Raw genomic sequence first — 19,331 nt, 5'->3', positions numbered from 1 at the left:
GAGAGTTGTTATTTGTCTTTCCCTTCGGTGATTTTTTTTTTCCCCCTTAGCTGGTGGTTTCTATCAATTCTTACTCCACAGCTCTTGAGTGATGTGAGCCAGTGACGGCATTAACTTTAGGTAATACTTCTATGGCCTTTGTAAAAATCCCGCGTTAAGGATGTATTAGATCTTGAGTTCTTTTCCGCGCTGGAGGCACCACTAGATTAACCCTTTGCCGGTGTATTGCGTGTGGGGCGCACGGCTCTGGGTTGCAAATATTCCGGAGATGCTTTCTGCAGCAGCTATTCTGTTCAGTTGTTCGCAAAGAGGAATAACGCTTCCTGGGAACCGCGGTGACACGCTTCTTTAGGACTGCCTGCCTACAGAGTTTTTCCCCGTGGAATTGATGTAACGATTGATTTATTTCTTATATTCTATGAAGACTGGGGGACCCGCCCTCGCTTAGAATGTTTCCCGGAGGAGAATAGAAGAGTGCAATGTGATGTTTTTCAAATTGTGTCTAACGGAGCTCCCTAAACTCTGGACTTGTTACCCCCTGATTGGCTGGAAGGAAGCGGGCCTGGGGGGTTTGAATGTTGAACGCTAAACTATAATTCTCGACTTTACGAAAAAATATACTTTTAGCCAGAGAACCACGGAAATAGCTACGAAACGTTAGGACGAGAGTTTAGAAAAAAAGTTGGTTTTTAATAGTTTTTTTTCCTCTCAGAAAGGATTTTCGTGTGGTTCTCAAATGTATATTAAAAGTAAAACTGAAGAGGCTGTTTTCGCAAAATTATGTTTCTGCTGGTTGAAATTAACAAGACTTTTATATATTTGTCACTGTTCTTTATTGGTTAAAAACTGAGTGAAAAATTTAGTTTTTTTCCTTTGATAGGAATTTTTCACCTTAAACTACATATATTTGTTGGATGCAGATTACCGGACAGTTGTTTCTTTTATTTTGATGCAAAGAAACTAATTTTCTTAAGGTTCACGAATGATCTTTTTAACATTTTCCATAAAAATTGAACATCTTATTTAAAAAACTTTTCGCATCTAGTGAAAATATACATTTTGCTAATTCAGTAACTGCAGTGAACTAAAACTTTAATTTACAAAACATTTATGTTTCTTAATTTAGACAACAGGTAAGCACAGGTGCGTATCTATTATTTAGTTCCTTTGATAAATTCATTATGAAGAAATATATTGTATACAACAGTGTGGGTGTGCTGTTTTTTATCTGGTTGATTTTCAGTTGATTTTTGTTCGATGTTGCCTGAGACAGCCTCAGTATATTTCCATTTATTACCGAGCTTGTCATTCCATTTAATTGCATCTTGATAAAAGGCAGGTGTCGTTTTCAAAGAACAGCGGCAAACTAACTGATAAACAGCTGTAGATGCTTTGAGAAACAATTGTTTTAATTTAATAGACGTTTATATTCTTTTATGAATAGTAGTTAAATTTTGAAGCTTATAGTGTGTATGTTCGCATTAAGTCAAATACGCATTGTTAAAAAATATTCAAATAAAAAATCTTATGGCTTTTATAAATCTCTGTAGGGCTGTAAATATAATTTACATTAGTAAGTGGAATAGCTGAGTTTATAATTCATACTATTTTGTACTGCCCTCATAACAAGAATTGTGATAACAGATCCCTTTTCATTACCTTTGTTCAAAGCTATTTATTTTGGGTCATCTTATGAAAATTTCATAGAAGGTGCTAATTATCTTCTCTATAAAATTTGATTTAATGAAATTTTAGGAGATCTCATTTCTATTTTAAACGTAATTATACCTAAAGTACCAGAACTCCTGGGTTTTGCTTTTTACTGATGGTTTTTGTTTTGAGTTTTGTATTCTCATTCAAATTACGTGAGTTTTGGGAAGAGTTGGGGGCAAGCTTTAAATTCCACCAGGCTGGTTAAGTATAACCATACATTTTTAGCACTTTGGTTTATGGGATTTTTTGTTTGTTTAGGGGGTAATGGGTAAAGGATTGTTTGTTTAATAAGCCATTTTTAAAAGAAGTGATTCCTTTATTTAAAATACATCACTTCAAATTTGAGAATACACTAGCGCCTAAATAAAATCCACAGCATTCAAAATATTTTCACTTTTATGTGATGCTATATAAGAGGAAGATTTTGGTTTTAGACTTGTGGGCATATAGGTATAAGTTACAACATATGTGTATTTTTTAATGTTTATGTGCACTTATCCATATTTCTCTGTAGAAATTGACAGTTGTAATTTATTTTGTATTACAAAGTCATTTATTACCATAGGAAAGCAACTGCGGGGTGTGGTGTTGCTATAATAGGTCACCCCTTTTTAAAGTTATGTTTACCTATTGTGGGGGAAAGGGGACTGGTAAGGTATCAGTCTTCCTGGTAGCATTGATTTTCATTTGTTTGCCCCCACACTATTTTTAAAAATTCAAATAAAAGTGCAGTTTCAGACTTTTTAAAAAAATACTGTTGACCTGTCTTAGTTGTACATTCAGAAAATGTAGCCTCGGGTGTTTGTATGTAACACTGCATATTTTTTCTAATCAGATTAATATGAGTTTTAATGTTTAGCATGAACTACAGCTAAGGATAAAAATTTTAAAGTAGCTTTCATAGTCTAGATTCCTGGTTTCATCATGCTTTATGTAGTACATTTTCGTTTGTTTTGTTTTGTGGAGACTTGTGTGTATTTTTGTTTGTTTGTTTGTTTATTGGTAGGTAGTAACTATTTGGAATGTCACAGAATACTTAAAGCCAGAAATATGGGTCAGTTGATTTGGTTTACAAAATGAAAAAAAATTCCCAGAGACTGTATTAGATAATTATTATATATGACACATTAGCTTTCTTCAAAAGAAGATGATAAATTTATAGTTTCAAAAAATTATTCTATAAAAATTTCTCTTATTTTAAAATATTACCTAAAATTGGCTCTTGTGTTTTTTTTCTTCTGTCTAATGAAGCTTAAAAATTCACATATTAATTTCTTTTTAACCCCTTTTTAGAAGACACAGATTTTAGGTCTGATTATAACTAGAAAACACATCTTAGAAAAAATTGTCATATATATAGTTTCGTGGGGGTTTTTGGTTTTGTTTTGTTTTTAATTCAGCAAACTTTGAAACATTGTATGCCAGGCAACTAATTTTGGCACATAATTAGAGCTCAACTATGACTTGCTGAAATTTTGTAGCCCCAAATCTCATAACACCAAAGGAAATCAGTAATAAAATACCACTTTATTTCAAATAAGCATTGAAAATGAGATTAAGCATTTAATTTTTGGAAGTGACAGTATTAGAACTTTAATGTCATGATTGTCTTAAGAGTAACAGGATAGATTTTTAGAATATCACATTACTATTATATGTTTATTTATCTCGTAGATCATATAAATATTACTTTCTGGTGGGGAACTGAATGTTTTTTATTTTTTTGCCTCGGTTGGTTTTTTGTTTTTATTTTTTGATCTGTATTAGAGATGCTTTAAAGGATCTTCCTTTTAGAAAGACAAGTTTTAAATATTGAAATTGATATTAAATATATATTTGAATATTATTAATATTTCTTATCAAATTATAAGAAGTTTACTATACCTTTGGTTAATCCTGCCTTATTTCAGTAAAGAAAATTTGTACTGGAATAACTTGTAGTGGTTTCTAAGAATAAATAGTAAGCTCTATTTTGTAATAGATTTTAGATTTGAGTTTTACTATTTGAAGGTTTTTTAATATTGCCTTTTTTATCATACACATTGGTTTATTATTTTATTTATATCCAGACCTCTTTTGCTTCTTATTGGTTAGTATTTTTCATCTCCCTACTATTTAAAAACTTAACATTTGGCATGTAGTACATTTTGTTTTCTACTATTTTCCTTCTATGATTTTTAAACTTAAGATACCTTAATTTTCAGAGTGCTCAAATATAGAAAACTGTCTGTCTTTTGAGGAAGACTGTGTATAAATGACGGTAATTTTTTAAAATGTCATGGTATTTGGATTGGTGTTTATGAGTTATGGATGATTGTGTGGGTTTTGTCATTAAACAATCAAATATTTGGCAACAGAGGAATAAAGGTTTTTTTAGGTTTTACTCTTTCATTTTCCTAAGCTATTCTTAAATATAACTGGAAAATTTATTCAGAGCATTATGATTTACATGTAATACATGATACACCTTTGGTAATTTAATATTTTTATACAGTCGATTGCCACTGAATCATTATAATTCAGAAAGGTGAAAGAAATGAAAAAAAACACTTAACATATATTCAGTTACATCTCTTAGAAACATTAAAAAACCATTTGGTCCAGTAGTGGTCCATTTATTATTTGTAAATATGTTAACTTGTTAAAAAAAAAAAAACTCCACATTTTGGTCTGTTAGGACTGTAATGTATTAAAATATTTGGAAATACTGATACTTTTCACTTAGGCTTGGCAGTAGACTAAAGTTGAAAATAATGGTAAATTCTTAGCCAGGCATGGTGGCAGGCACCTGTAATCCCAGCTACTCGGGAGGCTGAGGCAGGAGAATCCCTTGAATCCAGAAGGCAGAGGTTGCAGTGATCCTATATCGCACCATTGCTCTCCAGCCTGGTCAACAAGAGCAAAACTTCGTCTCAAAAAAAAAAAAAAAAAAAAAGAATGGTAAATTCTGTCATCATTAAAACATTTGATAATTTGGAGAGAAAGTAAAATTTCGTCCCTGTCCCTTCAGTAACTTTTTAAACTGTGTGGATTTTATGAGTTTTACAAGTACAAACTACATTTCTGATATTTTCTTTATGAACTCCTCTTGTACCAGTCCTCTAACAGCTACCCGCATACACACTCACCCATACTACTTTGAACATGAATGCCCTAAAGAGAAATGAAAGCAGAAACATATTAATCTGATTTGTTTGAAGAGGCTTCGGATGATAAAGCATATCACAGGTGTTTCTAATCAAGTTATTTCTATTTTTAAAACATTTTCAAGTTAGAGCTTCTCTGAACATTGGCAAGATTAGGGTCATTTTGAAGACCATACCTCTGTGTTCAGGGATCAACTGTGGAACTGCAGGAGATGGAAATCTGTTGAGTGTCTTCATGCTATAATACATGACATTTTTATTGCAGGTTTTGACCTGTAGCAGAGAACCAATTCTGGAGAACAGCCTCACTTCTTTGATTGAATACTTACATAATGCATTGGAACATGACATGAGATTAAGGTATACTAACAAATTTTAAAACCATATAATTTTATGTCTTTGCAATATAATCGGACTAGACAATTGGTAAAGTTGAAATTTTTACGTGAACTAAAATCAATAAGTAATTACTCATAAACAGAAATCATCATATGAAGTGGCCATAAGCTGAGTTGTCTAGCTTACTAAAACTCCAGATTTTTTTTTTATACAGGTAATGTTCTTCTCAGCATCCTAAGGTCTAACTCCAACTGAATTTATTCCAAAAATATGTATTTATAGTAATTTTTATTTTCTTAAGGTTATTACAGTGTACTCAGTAAAATATGAACTTTTCATCTTATAAAATGGAGAGTTTAAATCAAATGGAATTTAGTGCTTAGCTGTTTGACAGGTGGAAGAGTAGTAGGTAGAGCCTGCAAAATTAGGTAAAATTGATGAGAATATTTTAAGAAAATGTAAAGTATTCCAAGTACTGCCCTAACCAAAAGTGGCAATATGGTCGAAACTGAAAAAACCACTTTCTTAAGCAGAAATTACTAGTATCTTACTCAACATACACTGAGTAAAATATTTCAGTTGTTAATATCAAAAGTTGCAGACTCTAAAAATAAAATTGTAGAATCCCTAAACCTCCAGTGATTTTTATAGTTTTAGTTGAAAATTTCAGACAGTATTTAACTAATACAACTTTCATTTTCTAAAATGGTAATCTGGTATAGTGAAAATGAACTTATTGAACAGTATTACTAAGTATTACTTGGTTAATTCTTTCATAGTAAAGTATTAATCTTATATGTACATATATGTGTGCGTTTATTTGTGTAAAAACTATTTGCTAAAGTAAGGTTTACTAACATAATACAATTTTTTTTAATTTTTTCACCTAAAAATATTTATATACTTAGAGGAAATGTCAAAGGTTTGTTTTCATGAGAAAATTATTATTTAGTCTTAAGAATGAAGTATATCATCACGATCATAGAACTGCTTTTAACTTCCAACAATGTAAAATTTTTAAAGATGAATTCTGAGGTGTGTTTAAGAGTGAATGTTGAAATACATATCAAAATACTAAAAACTGAAATTTGATATTTCTATATTGGATATTAGGTAGATAAACCAGGAATGAATCAATTAACAGTTGAAGTTAAATAAAATGTAAAGATGTTTAGAAATCAGAGTTTAACATAAGGGTGAAGTTTAGATACTTTTATATTGGTGTCATACTGTAATGTGGTTCAGATAAATATGAGGTATGGAATGTCTTCATATGTTTGATTTGAGATTTTTATGAAAAAGCAGCTTAGTTTGAATAAAATGAAAATAAATACAATTTTTCCCTCACTGACTTAACAGCTATTTTTCAGGTTAGAGAACATTAAGATGAAAAGTGGAAAATACAGTTACCTGAGTATCTGGGAAAAAAAATCCAGGTTCAGTTTGTCACTTTCAATGCAGGTATCTTTAGAACAGCCTTAATGAGTTAAATAGGAAAAGAGAGACAGCATTTGAGTTTATATGGTAGATAAGATATAAATCCACAGAGTCGTCCAAATTTAGAGAGTTTGTGATTTGTGATCTTTGAAGATATCAAAACTTATTTTGAACACAAATATTTAGCATCATATAATTGTTCTTCCTATAGTTATTATACTGGGTTATAAACTTCTAATAATTTAGCTTAGTAAATAATTTCATATCTAAAAGAATCAATACAAATATTAACAGTTTACTTGTATTTGGTCAATTCTTACAGGGTGAGAAACTTTAACCTAATTAGGAGTATGGGTTATTTTAGGAGGCCAATTAACAAAGAGTTCAACTGCTGTGTATGATTGGCTCTCTTTTAACTACCCCTTGTAAGACATTTTGTAAAGATTTTGACCGTTTTAAATTTGCAAACCTGATTATCTAAATTTAAGCCTTGATGTGTAGTTAATTATGTTGGAATTTGGGGGAAGAGATTTATTGTGTTAATTTTTATCTTTTTTTCAGTGATTTGTATCTCATTTTTTCAATATTTATGTTTTTGGCTAAATGCACAATCAGGGTTAAATAACATTCACTTTTGGGAAAAATTCTTAGCTGTCCCTAAAATACAGTTATACCATCATTGTTCCTGTCTTACTGAAATAGTTTTTTTAGTATAGAAAGAATATTTGAATAAACTAGAATAGAGGTAACTTAACATATCTACATATGAAGGAACTTAAAATTATTATTTGTCAGAGATGTATAATGCTAGTTTATAAGGATATGTTACATTTTAGGCAGTTTGTCAGCTATGACATTTTAATAGAGGTTTTATATATTGATGAGAATTTGTTAAATAATAGATACAATTAACTTTTTAAATAAAAGTTTTAAAAATATTTATTTGAAGCAGTTTTGTTCATGTGTGTATTTTGTGTTTTTTCTTAAACTAGCAAATAACATCCTTAACCTCTTTCAGTTTTTCTTCAAATGAGATCTAATGTATCAGAATTATATTTTCTGATAAGCATTTTTCAAAGGGTAATATTTAATTAATGTGAAGGTTTAAAATTAAATACATTTTGAAGTGAAATTTCTATTCACAGCACCACAAACCACACTTTTGATACTTCATTAACATATTATTTGACTTAGTTTTACTTTCCTATTTTCATGGTTAGAATCTTAGAGGAGAAATGTGAAGCATGTTTCACATGTGGCTGCTGAGACTGATTAATCCCACTGGTTAATAGTTTATTAATCCATTACTGTTTCTAAGTGTCTGAATTTTTAAAAATCTTGCTTGAGGATTTGCTGTTAGTCTTTTTTATTTTATAGCCTTCATACAAAACAAATATATTTAAAGTATCTTGTTATCCTCTGGTCTTCAGAATTATTTTTATTATTATTAACATTTTTTGTTCCTCATTGAGTTGCTAAGCAGAAAATTTTTTCAATTGTGATAAAAATAGAAGATTGGGGTTGGGTTTTGATTTGTTACAAAATATCTAAATTTAAAATATTGTTACTGTTTCATACTTTTATTTTAAAATGTCTCAAACTTAGCCTTCTTGATTAGGTATTATTATTTAAACTTACTTGCCAGTTCTAGCCTATGTGGGTTTTTCTTTTTAATAGTTTATAGATCTCCAAATTTTTCTGACTTTTTATATTTTTCTGAATCACAAGTTGCTTAAGGTTCTAAAAGATGAGTTGCATTTACAGTTAAAGCTGTAAGTCTATAAATAGCATCACATTACATTTAAAGGTAATTGAACAGTGAATATTTCTATTTCTGTTACTCATCAATTAATACTATGTACTTACTAAGTTTTTAACTTTGTATTGCACATTTAAAATAGGTAAATTGCATATGGAAGTTTTTTTAATGGGATTTATGCAAAAACAGTATGGACTAAAATCTTATTTCTTTGCTAATAGTGTCTAAAGTCAAACATATGGTGGTGATTAGATATGGGGCACTTGGGAGCTAGAGGCATTTTGTAAGCAAAATAAAGTGTCATTTCTTGATTGGAGTTTTACACTTTCTTATTTTCCAGGAGAATAGGTAGGGAAGTTACTCTCAATGAATTTACCCCAACATTGGTTAAAACTCTTCAGAGAATTTTGATAATTGAGCGGTTAAATCTAGACTTACAAGGGGAAGATTATTATATATGTCATTAATTTCCTTTTCCTTGCATACATTATAGGTTCCCTTTATAATCAAAACACCAATTTTGTCTTTTTTCTCTCCCCACCCCACTTTTTAAAGAAAAATTATTTTAAAAATAATTTTATCATATAGTGATATAAGCAGACCTTGAGAGGTAGATTGATGTCTGAACCATTTTTCCTCTGTGTGTCAGTTTGATATTCTTTTCTCAGCTTGCTGTTTAAGAAGCAGCAGCAGCAACAGCAACAGCAGTGAATAAACAAGTTATCACCACAGCCCTTGTTCTTACCCCTTACAGCTGGGAGCAGAGGCTGGGAGATCGATGCTGCTTGTCAGCTGTTGTGCAGAATAACATCAATATGCAATAATGGTGGCCAAAGGAGCCTGCACCCATCCGTTTTTACAAACCCAGGTGGGAAGAGCCCAACTGTCACTGTACCACATACACAGTATAGAGAATACATTCTTTAGCAGAAAGGTTGCAGCATAAAGAGAACAGTAGATGCTTGTAGTTCTTAGACTCTATTATTTTTTACTATTTCTCTGTGGCTTTAGTTCATTTAATTTTTATTCAGTTAATTCCATCCATTAGAATGGAAAACCTGTCTTGCTTCTGGAGGTATATATAGTATGTTTCATGTATATATGGTATGTTTCATGTTTTCACTTTTAAGCAGGTAGACTGAAAAAAATTATAATTAGTTGCTGATATCACAAGTTAGGTAATATATTGAGGATAGAAAAGAAAAGCTGGCTATGGCCACACAGGAGTGTTTCTTTCACTTTTGGACTACATTATCTTTGTTTTATAAAAGCCCAGTCTAACAAGACCGAATTCTTGTTGATTTCACTATAATAAAAGAAAGAAAACAACATTCTATATTAACTTAGTGTTGTAAATAACTAAAAGCAGGCAACAGATGAAAACTTATGTCTTTTTTCTTACTACTAAACTGCTTACTTTTTCTATTTACCATTTCTCACTGAAATATCTTTTATCTGAACTTTTTATCTAGAAAGCTTAGATTATTCTAAATCTTTTGGAAACAGGACTTTGTAATTTCAAATAATATAGAAGAATGTTTTTATTTTTATAATTTGAATTTGCGCCGATTTTTATAACCTAAATATTCTATTTTTTTTCTTCCTTTTACATCTAATTTCAATAGGTTAGAGTTACAGGGAAGTGTGAATGTTGGATTTCTATAAATGTTCTGAATTTATTTGTAGCGGTCTTGGTGGGAAACTACTAATGCCTTTTTTTTTTTTTTTTTTTTTTTTTTTAGTGTATAAAGCCAAATGTCCCATTTAAAGTTTGACATTTGCAATAGCATTCTATTTAAAAGGTAATCATATAGTTGCTTTCTGGTCACCTTCATTAAAATCACTCCTGATCACTCTCACTCTTAATATTTTCCTGTGCCAATCACAGTAAATTCAGAATATTAGTTCCCTGGTAATATTACTAAAAAAAGCTTTGTCATAGTATGTGTCTAGTTATCTGAAAAAATAAATGAGCCCACAACCTTTCTTGGCATTGTGAAGTCAAGCATATTCAGCCATAAATTGAGGTTACTTTTTTGTTGTTGTTGACTAATGCTAGAGGTTTTTAAAAAAAAGTTTATGTAATTTAACAGATAACATATTAATTACTGTTACCTCCCCTAACTAAAACATGAGTTACATAATCCTCTCTATTGAAAGCACCTCATTTTTAATCATTACTTACTGCTTAGTTGCCTGCAAACCACCTGTATGAGAATAACCTAGAATTTAAAAAATAAAATAAAAACATTTTTCCAGACCTGGAATTTGCATTTTTTTACAAGCTTTAAGAGATTTTTCTTAGGAGCACCACATTTGTGAGAAGCACTGCCCAAAATGAACTTGGAGGAGGGATTGTTCATACCCACAAACTATCTACTTTTCCTGCATCTTTTTTTCCCCTCTTTGGTCATCTTGGATCTAAGCTTAATATTTAATTAGGAATCTTATCATTTCTAGATTAAGTTCTTGAATCTTAAATTCGGCTGATTAAAAAATAGATTAAGTCTTGGTATTTCCTCAGTCACATGAGGAAAATCTGTGTTATCAGAGCTTTGTTTTCATGTAAGTGCCTTGGGCCAAATTTCAGTCTATTCTCTTTGTTTGGAACATTAGTATACCTATGTTAAACCAATACTTGATGAAAACCAAAGGAATTGATCACTTATGAATTTTTAAATTTTCATATAGATAGTGGCTGTTTTTCTTAAATATGCTTCCAAATGTTGGAGGAAATATAAAATGAGGAACTCTTCATATGCTGCTTGTGGGAGCATTTAGCAATATCTTTGTAAAGTTGAAGATACAATAGGCTTGAACCCAACAATTTTATTCCTAGATGCTCTAGGTAAACTCAAGACATGTAGAAAAAAGTCTTGGTTATTTTTAATAGGAAAAAAATGAAAGCAATGTAAATGTTAAGCAAGAAGAGAATGGCAAATTGTGACATAGTCATGTGATGAACTGTAAAGCTACTAAAATGAGAGCTGTGTTTATCATCATGGGTGAATATCCTACTTCAGCAAACAAATAAGTTGCATAAAGGTTATATACAGAGTAACGTATATAAAATATGTATGATATTATACCATTTATCAAAAGCTTGAAAGCAATGATAAAGTTTAAATTCTTGAATTGGTAGTAATAGTGTAAAAACATAGGAAATAAATATCAAATTCAAGATTATGCTTGCATCTTTGGAAAGAATGGAATGGAATCAGGGTATAGCTCACAAAGGACATCATCTGTATGTGTAATCAATTTTCATAAAAAACAAAGGGAAGTAAGTATGGCATAGTTTTAGATTTCAGTACAGCTGGATTGGGAGTCCAGAGATAGGATATGGAGGTTCATTTTGGTATTCCCTTGATTTTTCTGTGAATTTTGAAGCAAATGATTTTGAAATTTTTAAAAACATGCTGTTCTTTTTCTGTTAAGATTAGTCTACAATAAAGCGTATACTTGCAGTGCTCTGTTAAGAACATGGATGAATTTGTCATATCCTTTCTATTCTGTATCTTATAGTAAGTGCTTAACTATTAGTTGATGTAACAACTACAACTTAGAATCATGACCCACAGAAGCCAAACATGCTAACCAACTCAGATTACTAGCATATCTTTAAAAATGTCATATATTCCTTCCTTTGTGTACTTGGAATTGTGCAATATACAATACATGGATTATAGATGATGCAATTTTATGTGTGTGAGAGAGATTAATCAGTCTTGGAATATGATCTTGAATTTATCTTAAAATATCTGCAAATATATGATGTCCTCCAGAAGCTCATTGGGCTCCAAGTTAGAGTTTTAGCTTTGACTAAAATTTTTGACTTAAACTTCAAGAGGGCAATTGTAATAGAATAGCAAATTTTAAAAGCCAGTGATAAGCAGGATGTAGTGGCATGCAGGCCTGTAATCCCAGCTACTTGCGAGGCTGAGGCAGGAGGATAGCTTAAACTCAAGAGTTTGAGGTTGCAGTGAGTTAGGATCACACCATTGCACTCCAGCCTGGGTGATAGAGCAAGACCCCATGTCTTAACAAAAAAACTAACAAGAATGCTGCACTGGGCTGAAACATACAAATGCTGCTGGGTGTTTATAATCTGATTGTTCTGTGCTGTATAAGGATCAGAATACAGCGGTGGCAACCTCAGTTGAAATGTTCTAACTTATATAATGTGCTGAAATTTTTAAAGTCTTCCCTCTTTTTCCTAGGTTTAATAATGATAGAATGAAGACCACAATAAAAGAGACCTCTACTTAGCTCAGCAATTCTTACCTTGTAAGTATTAACTCTGAGTCTCCCTATTACTGTTTGGTGTCATGTTCTGGTTTATTTCTGATTTTTTTCCCTGCTTATCCTATTATGGTAACTTTCTAACCTCTCCTAGCCCCTCTACACGTTGAGATTTGATGTTAATTAATAGTTTAGAGCAAGAATAATGCCATTGCCTTGGTAAGTTATTTAGGGAAGTATTTTATACCCAGGCCCTATAATCTCCAAGTCTGAGAATCACAATTTTGAGCCCTTTTCCTTCAAAGGAATTAACAAATAGGTAATTGTCTTTTTTAGTACTCATTATTCAGGTTTATTGGTCTTATGGTTTTATAAATTGAGAGTATTCTCTCCACTTGAGAAATGATTTTGTAAAGTCTGTTTTTAATTTCATTAGGTTACACTTGAGACTTCTTTGTGAAGAGCTTAACATTTAGCTGTTAAAACTTGAGGAGGTGGCCGGGCGCGGTGGCTCACGCCTTGTAATCCCAGCACTTTGGGAGGCCGAGGTGGGCGGATCACGAGGTCAGGAGGTCGAGACCATCCTGGCTAGCACGGTGAAACCACGTCTCTACTGAAAATAAAAAAATTAGCCGGGCGTGGTAGCGGGCGCCTGTAGTCCCAGCTACTCGGGAGGCTGAGGCAGGAGAATGGCATGAACCCGGGAGGCGGAGCTTGCAGTGAGCCGAGATCACGCCACTGCACTCCAGCCTGGGAGACAGAGCGAGACTCCGTCTCAAAAAAAAAAAAAAAACAACTTGAGGAGGTGGGAGAAACATGAAGGCAATCCCTTTTCCTTCCCTTTCTTTTGTTGGTTTTTTTTTTTTTCATTTATTCAGTACATATTTATTGAGTATCTACCATGTTCCTAGTACTTTTCTAGGAGCCAAAGATATAGCAGTGAACAAAACAGATAAACAAGTAAGTACATAAATTAAACGATTTCTGACATGGATTCAAAGTCAGAGGTTTTGGGTGGGGGCCAGGACCATGCATCTTTAGCAAGCTCTCCCTGAGTAGGATGGCAGCAGATGATCTGTGGTCCATGCATAGTGTAAAGAAACCGCTCCGAAGAGCCAGGGAGCAGTGTCCAGCTGCAAGTCCTCCTTTCTTCTGTCAGGGAAGTTTGCAGAAGTGAATCAGTGGATAGCAACACCAAAGTGATACCTTCAGGGTAGACAGGAAGGTAGTCTGTTTAGTTGAAGGTCAGGAGTAGTCACCTTAATTATTCAAGACATCATTTCTCGCCCTGGATTGCCCCATCGCCTCCCAAGCTAAACCTCAGATATTTCCTGCAAATATCAAAAAGAGGATTTTTCTCCTTTTTCCTTCCTTTTATATATATACATGCATACCTCTTTTTTAGAATAAGAAACATTTTTCCCCAATTCATTTAACTTTTGAGACACTTAGAAATTCTGAAAGAATAATTTTAACAAGTTAACTGAAATTAATATTATGCCTCTAGAAAAACTCACAAGATCAAGGGCATATAAAATGCGCAGGATACTTATTTCCATAAAAGTATTCGAGACCTTAAAATCAGTTACCAAAAAATGTCATTTCCATCCATTCCTTGAGCTAATTCTGCATCTCTAAAGAAAAACTCAAGCGCAAGACTTTCTATTCTTGATGTTGAGGGCATGTCTCTGTTTAAATGAAACTAGTGCTTCAGATGCTTTTATTACATTATCTCACAGTGACTCAAATAATGTGTATATGTTGGGGATGGCCTTATGATCATAGACGATCAGCCATTGAACTCAATAAGGTGAGAATTTTTAAGTGGGGGATCAATTAAATGTTGAAAACTGTTAATAATAAGCCAGTTTGCAAAGTAGTAGTCAAATGCCACAGGTCACTTTCTTTTTCTAATTTTCTCCCGGTTACATTTTTGTCTCTGGAAAATTAGAATGGAAATATCTGCAGATCCCTAAAGAATCCTATATAGTACAGGCTTGGATTCCTTAATTAGTGCCTTGGAAGCCAGCTCAGCCCTTCTTCAACTTAACTCTTTAAAAAAAGAAGTCTTTTTAATTCGTACTACACTCAGAATGGAGGGCAGTCCACTTTTCAACAAGAAATAGGTATCATTGAATTCTAACAGATACATAAGCACAGATAATATCACATTCTTCATTTCATCTCCTTTATAAATTTCTAAGCTAGCAGTCTTTCTTGGATACTCTCCAGCATCTTTTAAACATAGGCCATTTATCATATTTCATAGTTGGAATGCTTTCTGTTGTCTGTTCTAGGTAGATTCCCCTTAATCTTAGATTCTAAAATGGTGATGTTTCCAATTAAACAATACCCAGAATAATAGGTACATAGTGACTGGCAATAGTCAGTGATGCTGTGTGTGATTGTGTGTTCCCCTTCTATCATTTTTTTAATGTTTGTTTAATGCCATTTATTTTTTAAGATGGGATATATATTTTAATTAGCTGGGCGTCGTGGCGGGTGCCTGTAGTCCCAGCTACTCAGGAGGCTGAGGCAGGGGAATGCCGTGAACCCGGAGGGCAGAGCTTGCAGTGAACCGAGATCACACCACTGCACTCCAGCCTGGGCGACCGAGTGAGACTCCATCTCAAAAAAAAAAAAAAAAAAAAAAAAAAAAAAAAAAAAAAAGATGGGATATATATATATATACACACATATATTTTATATATAATATATATTTACATATATATAATATATATTTACATATGTTATATATAATATATATTTACATATATAATATATATTTACATATGTTATATATAATATATATTTACATATATAATATATATTTACATATGTTATATATAATATATATTTACATATATATAATATATATTTTATATATAATATATATTTACATATATATAATATATATTTACATATATTATATATAATATATATTACATATAATATATATTTACATATATTTTATATATAATATATATTTACATATATAGATATATTTTAGATATCTATATATAGATCGATTTTAGATATCTAGATAGATAGATGTATTTTCTTTTTTTTTTTTTTTTGAGATGGAGTTTCGCTCTTGTTGCCCAGGCTAGAGTGCAATGGCATGATCTCGGCCCACCACAACCTCCACCTCCCAAGTTCAAGTGATTCTCCTGCCTCAGCCTCCTGAGTAGCTGGGGTTACAGGCATGCACCACCACGCCTGGCTAATTTTGTTTTTTGTTTTTTGTTTTTGTGTAGACAGGGTTTCTCTGTGTTGGTCAGGCTGGTCTCGAACTCCTGACCTCAGGTGATCTGCCCGCCTCAGCCTCCCAAAGTGCTGGGATTACAGGCGTGAGCCACCTTGCCCTGCCTAAGATGGGATTTTTTTTAAAGCTGTTCATTTGTGGAATGTGGATGTTCTAGAAGTTGTAGAACAGTGATGTTCATGTATACAATCCTGTCAAACAATGGCAGTTTGGGGTTCATTTTTACAAATTAAATATAGAGATGGAGTATTTTTCAAGTTTATTTTTCAATTTAGAGATCTTAAACTTTCGCTGCTTAACAAAAAATTCAGAAATAATTATATGTCTTTATTTCTTTTTCTTTTTTGAATTATTTTTATTTTTCACATTGCATTTTCGAATACAGACACTTAAATTATATATTTCTGTTTGTAAATGTAAACATATGTTTACCTGCAAATGTAAATACATGTTGACATCTGTTATGTAAATTTAAATATATATTTGGTGCTTAAAAAAATCTCAAAACATTGTCAGCAGTTAAGAATATTACATCTCTCTTTTTAATAATCTACAATAAAAATCTTAAAACATTGACTTTATAAATAGGGAAAGAAAAGATGAAGCAGAATATTCACCAGTGCTGTCAATGTTAGTTCCATAAACAAAAATGATAGAGATAAATTACTTCCTAATTCCAAAGACTTATTAAATTTGGCTGCTATCAAGAGCAAGCCTAGTAAAAAGAAATAACAAAAACTATTTCTCACATATGACTAGTTATCAATATAAGTTTTTAGAAGTATTATCAGGTTAGCAATAAAAGCAATGGTATGTAATCATCAGCCTAGAAAATATTGTCAATTGTAAATTATAAAATGTACAAACGTAGGACTGACTGAAAATACTGCAAAAAAAATCAATGTTTTTATCAGTGGAGCAGTAAGTAATTGATATATGGCAAATGATATAAAATCTGTTGTGCTTTCAATAAAACCATAATGATGTAATTATATTATGCACTAGACATAGCCAAAGTTTCTCTTATTTTTAATTATTGTGATAGAAATTTACTCTTGTGTAAATTGCTGTATACCTGTGTCACTGATGAGGAAATTCTAATTATCTTGAATAGTTTTAAAAATGGGAATGTTTCTGGGAGAAAGGAATTCCCCAAAAGAGAAAAAATAAATTGCTCTTTTGGCAGTTGGATTAGTGGTGAAAGAGTGTTATAACCCAAAAAATTCATAAAGGTACCAGCTATTGTCAGCATTTGGTAGTAAAGAGAATGTCTTATAAACCTATTGATATGATGAAGTGCCATTAATTTAGTAAATATATAAAATCTAGGCTCTTATGTATTCTATAATTTATGAATATAGAGAAAGTTCACAATATGCTGCAGCTGTTTTTCATTGTTCAAATAATTGCTATTTTTGAGAATTAGACATTTAATAAAAATGCCAGGTGTTCCTTGTCCTCATTCTTCCATATTTGTCTTATATATGTTTAGCAAAATAATTGAGTTAAATATGAGCTTTTATGCTTAAGCGATGGCTGTGTTTTCGCTCTTAATAAAATTGCACCATAAAATTTGATTTTTAGTGCCAAAATTATAAAAAGGGGTTGGGCTTGTTTCCTCAACCTGAACAACTTCTTACCTTCAAGATGGATGATTCAAAGAGGAATAATAGGGAATTTCTTAGTATGAAGTTACTTGGTTGTTTTCTTAGGAAAACAAAAGGTAGAATTTAACAGCATGGGGCCTGATTTAAATAGAAAATAAATGTACAGATATAATCAACTCTGCTGTCATGGGGATTTCAAGTTATAAATGCAATAAGTAACATCCCCTGACTTATTCTATGTACTTTTGCCCTAATCTACTACCTATTAGTCTGAAACTTGAGTTTTTAAATTTAATCTCTATGTAAAAGAGGAATAAATTGAATGCATAATTAAAATATATGTTGTCAATTATCACACCTTTTTGCCTAGACTATAAGCTTCATTTTTCCTGTTATATCCACTAAATTAATTTATGCTTGTTTTTCCATTAAAACAAGTTACTTTGGCTGGGTGCAGTGACTCCCGCCTGTAATCCTAGCACTTTGGGAGGCTGAGGTGGGCAGATCATGAGGTCAGGAGTTCGAGACCAGCCTGTCCAACATGGTGAAAACCTGTCTCTACTAAAAATACAAAAATTAGCCGGGCATGGTGGCCGGCACCTGTAGTCCCAGTTGCTTGGGAGGCTGAGGCAGGAGAATTGCTTGAAACCAGAAGGCAGAGGTTGCTGTGAACCGAGATCGCGTCACTGCACTCCTGCCTGGGCGAAAGAGTGAAACTCTGTCTCAAAAATAAATAAATAAATAAATAAATAAATAAATAAATAAATAAATAAATAACAAAAATTAGCCAGGCATGGTGGCGTGCACCTGTAATCCCAGCTACTCAGGAGGCTGAGGCAGGAGAACTGCTTAAACCTGGAAGGCAGAGGTTGCAGTGAGCTGAGATTGCACCATTGCACTCCAGCCTGGGTGACAGAGCAAGACTCCATCTCAAAAAGAAAATAAAAAGAAAAAAACAAGTTACTTTAAAATGTCTTATAAAATCTGTTTCTTATAGTAAAACTATTTGTAGCTAATGAAAATGAAGTTTTGATACATTTAACAGTATTACCACTAAGAATGCCATCCTTTCAAGTACTCTACCACTGGTCAAATTTCAGAACCTCAGTTTAAAATTTTTGGGGAGGCCAGATATGGTGGCTCATGCCTGTAATCCCAGCACTTTGGGAGGCTGAGGCAGGTGGATTACTTGAGGTCAGGAGTTCAAGACCAGCCTGGCCAACATGGTGAAACCCAGTCTCTACTAAAAATAGAAAAATTAGCCAGGCATGGTGGCGGGTGCCTGTAATCTCAGCTACTGGGGAGGCTGAGGCAGGAGAATAGCATGTATGCTGGTAGAGGTTGCAGTGAGCCAAAATCAAGCCACTGCACTCCAGCCTAGGCAACTAAGAGCGAGACTCCATCTCAAAAAGTATGTTTAGGGAAACAGTTGGGCATGGTGGCTCACACTTGTAATCCCAGCACTTTGGGAGGTCGAGACGGGTGGATCACTTCAGGTCAGGAGTTCAAGACCAGTCTGGCCAACATGGTGAAACCTCGTCTCTACTAAAAATACAGAAATTAGCCAGTCATGGTGGCAAGTGCCTGTAATCCCAGCTACTTGGGAGGCTGAGGTGAGAGAATAGTTTGAACCTGGGAGGTGGAGGCTGCAGTGAGCCGAGATCCCACCACTGCACTCCAGCCTGGGCAACAGCACGAGACTCCATCTCAAAAAAATAAATAAAGTGTTTAGGGAAACAATATCTGAATTAAAATTCAGTACACCTCAGTTTTAAATTATTACTTTTAGTTTTTATATCCTTAGTTCAGCTGTTTCTTTATGC

The 19,331-nt window shown here is 32.7% G+C and overlaps 1 long non-coding RNA gene across 7 annotated transcripts in view, besides 1 other annotated feature; it reads left to right on the top strand.

Moving 5' to 3' along the window:
- DLEU2 (deleted in lymphocytic leukemia 2) overlaps window positions 1-19,331 on the top strand; it is a 142,993-nt gene that overhangs the window by 44,764 nt on the left and 78,898 nt on the right. For 4 of the 7 annotated variants that reach the window (NR_152571.1, NR_152572.1, NR_152567.1 and 1 more), the window contains exons 2-3: window positions 5,125-5,219; window positions 12,615-12,681. This is a non-coding gene — a long non-coding RNA (deleted in lymphocytic leukemia 2). Of the gene's footprint in view, window positions 1-5,124; window positions 5,220-9,148; window positions 9,263-10,136; window positions 10,197-12,614; window positions 12,682-19,331 lie in introns of all 7 variants that reach the window. The other 3 variants (NR_152568.1, NR_152569.1, NR_152566.1) reach the window with 2 other exon arrangements.
- Window positions 98-157: an enhancer, noted in NCBI's record as "active region_7759". NCBI's record gives its function as "activates an Ori minimal core promoter by ATAC-STARR-seq in GM12878 lymphoblastoid cells {active_cell/tissue: GM12878}" and the evidence as "EXISTENCE:reporter gene assay evidence [ECO:0000049][PMID:35858748]".

Source organism: Homo sapiens, chromosome 13 (genome assembly GCF_000001405.40).
Source record: "Homo sapiens chromosome 13, GRCh38.p14 Primary Assembly".
NCBI classification, from domain to species: Eukaryota; Metazoa; Chordata; class Mammalia; order Primates; family Hominidae; genus Homo; species Homo sapiens.
This window is presented reverse-complemented; position numbering and strand designations above follow the sequence as displayed.